This window comes from Homo sapiens, chromosome 5 (assembly GCF_000001405.40).
Source record: "Homo sapiens chromosome 5, GRCh38.p14 Primary Assembly".
NCBI classification, from domain to species: domain Eukaryota; kingdom Metazoa; phylum Chordata; class Mammalia; order Primates; family Hominidae; genus Homo; species Homo sapiens.
The window spans coordinates 17,063,594-17,068,681 of NC_000005.10; the positions used below are offsets into that span (position 1 = coordinate 17,063,594).

General features: G+C 41.1%; 1 annotated feature.

The window, feature by feature from the left end:
* Positions 2,306-2,887: an enhancer, noted in NCBI's record as "NANOG hESC enhancer chr5:17066008-17066589 (GRCh37/hg19 assembly coordinates)". NCBI's record gives its function as "activates a minimal SCP1, AML or CMV promoter by ChIP-STARR-seq in naive H9 embryonic stem cells {active_cell/tissue: H9 hESC(naive)}" and the evidence as "EXISTENCE:reporter gene assay evidence [ECO:0000049][PMID:30033119]".

Genomic DNA, 5,088 nt, shown 5'->3' on the forward strand with positions numbered 1-5,088 from the left:
TGCACAGAATAGGTCTTACAGCTGTAATTCTGGGAACCCAAACCCTTTTCACCAGAAAAGGTAAAATGGTCTGTGAGAAAAAAAAGGGTTTCTGAGTCCAGAACATAAAAACATACAGTTTAGGCTGGGTAGGGTAGTTCATGCCTGTAATTGCAGCACTTTGGGAGGCTGAGGGGGCAGATCATGAGGTCAGGAGTTTGAGGCCAGCATGGCGAAACTCCGTCTCCACTAAAAATACAAAAAATTAGCCAGTCATGGTGGTGGGCACCTGTAATCCCGGCTACTTGGGGGGCTGAGGCAGGAGAATCACTTGAACCCAGGAGGCAGAGGTTGCAGTGAGCGGAAATCATGCCACTGCACTCCAGCCTGGGCGCTAGAGCAAGACTGTCTCCAAAAAAAAAAAAAAAGTTTAATCCAATTGTAAAATGCAGGATGTTTAAGCAAGCTTTACATAAGGTAGTTATAACCCCCTTTACCTAAAAGTCTTAGGAAAATGGGTGCCATATTTAATGGGGGGATGCTTTTCCCCTTTCCAGTACTATAAAAACTGAAGATACATAAATTTGCTCTTTTAGGAAATGTTATTTGAATACACTAAGTAGGAACTAGTAAAATTGTCTAAGCTTACAAAATATAGGATAAAACTGGAATACTACTCGAGACAATTCCTCTGTTGCATAGCCTTTTAAGTGGAGTTTTTGTTTTTTTCCTTTATCAGGGCCGATGCCAAAAACTGAGTACTTTTTCAATAATAGCTGCTGAATTAGAGAATTTCTGTTTGGGGCATTTACTGCCTTGCTATGGAACATTAACTGAAGCTCCCCCTATGCTAATGGAAATAATGTTTCCCAGAAGAGTCCATGATAAAATAAAAATGGTTTACACAAAATCTTGCTACCTAGTAAGTAGAGAGCCTCTTTTCTAGGACTAATTGCGAGGAGCTGCTAAATTCTACAGGGCCTAATAGCTCTCATGAGCTGTTTGGCTTGTAAATGGCATTTCCAAGGTAAACAAACATCTTGTTTTAAAAGCTGCTGCTCTGGTTAAAGAAGGGTCAAGAAAATCTTTTTTCTTTTACGTTATTTGGGTAAAGTATGTTTTTGCAAGCAAATTTACTTTTGAGTCCTCCAAAATTCAGATTGTAATTTTATGACAATATGGTTGTCTGCATAAGTTCAATAATAGTTTTTTTTTTTTTGATTGGAGACACTGGTTATTTTACCAAGACTGAAACTAAAATAGCCTATTTTTAGGTAAAGTTTCAGCAAAACCAACTCAAAAGGAGTCTATATGGCCAGTCAATTCTTGCTGCATTTTATGCAGATAGTCAGATAAGCATAATAAGCCTAAAACTTATCTTGCACACAAATTGGCCTTGCTATAATTTTCTCTTTGATAAAAAAGGTGGCTAAAAAAAATTGTTTCAAGGATAAAGCATAACACTTAATACTAGATTTCAGCCCTAACTTTTTGAATGCAGATTAAATCATTATTTCTTGGCTAGAAAGCCAGATTATAGGCGGGGCATGGTGGCTCACGCCTGTAATCCCAGTACTTTGGGAGGCCGAGGCGGGCGGATTGCCTGAGTTCAGGAGTTTGAGACCAGCCTGGTCAACATGGTGAAACCTTGTCTCTACTAAAAATACAAAAATTAGTCAGGCATGGTAGTGGGTGCCTGTAGTCCCAGCTACTCGAGAGGCTGAGGCAGGAGAATCGCTTGAAATTGGGAGGCAGAGGTTGCAGTGAGCAAGATGGTGCCATTGCACTCCAGCCTGGGGCACAGAGCAAGACTCCATCTCAAAAAAAAAACAACAAAAAAAACCCAGATTATAATTTTTTTCATATTTTTATTTGGTGCCCTAATGGAATAGGTTCCTTTTTCTATTCTGACATATGAATTACTCTTGTAATTCTCAAACTGTAAATGTTATTTATTTCTCCTTGTTTTACTTCCAAGGAAACCAAAATCATGGTATTTTGAAGACCAGAGATATGAGTCTCCGTTGTTTGGCATCCCACTGACCCCACATCTGTTTCGCTGCTAATGCTCTGCTGCCAGAACTATCCAAGCTGCCTCCCTCTGGGCCCAGGGACTATTGCTGAAGAGGTGGGTGTGTAAGATTGTAAGAGCTGGCTTTGTGGGAAAAAATTAGGTCAAGGTCAAACCCTCCAAATCAAGAAGGAGGTACAAAAATGCCTAAACAGCTGGTAAAGCAAGTTTAGTTGTCTTCTAAACTATTATGTGTCGCTTTTACATCCACCCCAACCAAAAAATATTCTGCCTACTTTCATGCGCGTCCGTGTGAAGAGACCACCAAACAGGCTTTGTGTGAGCAGTAAAGCTGTTTATTTCACCTGGGTGCAGGTGGGCTGAGTCTGAAAAGAGAGTCAGCGAAGGGAGATAAGGGTGGGGCTGTTTTATAGGATTTGGGTAGATAAAGGAAAATTACAGTCAAAGGGGAGTTGTTCTGTGGTGGGCAGAGTGGGGGTCACGAGGTGCTCAGTGGGGGAGACTTTTGAGCCAGGATGAGCCAGGAGAAGGAATTTCACAAGGTAATGTCATCACTTAAGGCAAGGACCGGCCATTTTTACTACTTTTGTAGTGGAATATCATCAGTTAAGGCAAGGACCGGCCATTCACACTTATTTTGTGGTGGAATGTTATCAGTTAAGGCGGGGCAGGGCATATTCACTTCTCTTGTGATTCTTCAGTTACTTCAGGCCATCTGGAAGTATACATGCAAGTCACAGGGGTTGCGATGGCTTGGCTTGGGCTCAGAGGCCTGACACTTACTATAGAGTTAAAGACAATTATTTACTAACAGGATGAAAATACCTTGTAACAGGCTGGGCGCAGTGGCTCACGCCTGTAATCCCAGCACTTTGGGAGGCTGAGGTGGGCGGATCACGAGGTCAGGAGATTGAGACCGTCCTGGCTAACACGGTGAAACCCCGTCTCTACTGAAAATACAAAAAATTAGCTGGGTGTGGTCGCGGGCACCTGTAGTCCCAGCTACTTGGGAGGCTGAGGCAGGAGAATGGCGTGAACCCGGGAGGCGGAGCTTGCAGTGAGCTGAGGTCCTGCCACTGCACTCCAGCCTGGGTGACAGAGTGAGACTCCATCTCAAAAAAAAAAAAAAAAAAAAAAAAAATCCCTTATAACAAGCCTCCTAGGTATAACACTCCCAATTATGAGTTGTGAAGATAAATCTCTGTCTCTCTATCTGTATTTTTCAGAACAATGCTTATATTTTGTGTAGTTAATTGCTATATATCTGTAACAAAAACCAAGCTCACAGGAGTTCAACACATAGAAGTTAAAAATAAGTCGGTCTTGTAACTTTTCCTTTTGGTTTTGTTGTTGGCTTTTTAACTTAATAATTTTAAGAAGTAACAAATGCTTGTCCACATCCATTCCTATCTGGCCTAGAACAATTAATTGGCTATAAGCCTTTTGACTCTTTTTTTTTTTTTTTTTTTGAGACGGAGTTTCGCTCTTGTTGCTCTGGCTGGAGCGCAATTATGACTTCTGTGACAAAACCTCCTTTCCTTTCCCAAATACCAGTATATGTGCAATACGAAGGTGGTAGGAAAAATAGATTTGTCTACTGTTAACAAGTCTATAACAATTTAGACATTTAGGACCAGGCATTCCTTGCACGTGATTTATACTCTTCTCAGGATGTTATACCTATGGAGATAAATTGGCTAGGAGAGATATTAAATTTATTGGATTCTGAGTTAATGTTGGTTCTACAATCTTCAAGTAAGATTTATCATAAAGTTCGGCCCGGCGCAGTGGCTCACACCTGTAATCCCAGCACTTTGGGAGGCCGAGGGGGGCGGATCATGAGGTCAAGAGATCGAGATCATCCTGGGCAACATGGTGAAACCCTGTCTCTACTAAAAATACAAAAATTAGCCGGGTGTGGTGGCAGGCACCTGTAGTCCCAGCTACTTGGGAGGCTGAGGCAGGAGAATCGCTTGAACCTGGGAGGCAGAGCTTGCAGTGAGCCGAGATCGTGCCACTGCACTCCAGCCTGGTGACAGAGCGAGACTCCGTGTCAAAAAAAAAAAAAAAAAAATTTTTTTTTAATCATAAAATTCGAGTGACCCTTTATAAGGAGGGTAAACACATTGTGAGTCTAATCAAAGAATATGATGCTGCGTGCAGTGACTTTTTTGGGCTGGTTAGGTTGTTTACTGCTCTCTGACTCATAATCTTATTGGATGCCTAATCTTTGCTATCTTTATGATATTTGTCACTGTATTAGCATTATATAGCTCCTGTAAATGTTACGCCAGATACAGCAAAAGGAAAAAGGCACAACTGAAGACCCAGATCATGATAGCTCACAAAATGGATCTGTTGCCAGATTTTTTTTTTTTTTTTTTTTTTTCCAGACTAAACCCTAGGCCTGACTTCATCTCACCCCTTAAACAATTGGCTATTATATCAGGTCAGACCGTGTCCTCTCCCCCATGATCCAAATCGCTAATATTTTAAAACTGTTACCACCAACCAGACTACTCCAGGAATGAGCCTTCCTAGCACTGAGAGACCTCGCCAAATGACCAAATCAGATAACTCTAGGAATGAGCCTTCCTAGCACTGTGGGACCTGTTGCTGTTTGGCCTGTATATGCATGCTATGGAATGCTTTTCGGCCAAGAGTGGGGACTGAAGACTAAACTCTGATTTTTTTTTTCTTGCCCAAATTCCTATCTAAGGGGTCCAGTCATGCCCTACGAACATAAATTCTCATCAGATGGGTTTTATTTGACCCTATATATCATGATTTGCTTCCCAACCTGACTCTGGCATAACATTACGAGACAAAGAAGAAAATAAAAATATTTTACCCCAAAACATGTTTCTTTGTCATATTTTGAAATGACCCTGCAAAGCTGTTCTTTGTGGGGGAAAATTTGCGTCTGTAAAGAATTGCTATTAACATAGCTAGATCTTTTTCTTCTAGACCCTCCCAATCCTAAAAAGATTAATTAAGGTCTGAATAGGAAACATTTGTCATCTATTATCTCTAAGGGCAGCCACTGTAAGACTTCAATATAACTTTGGTTTCCACAA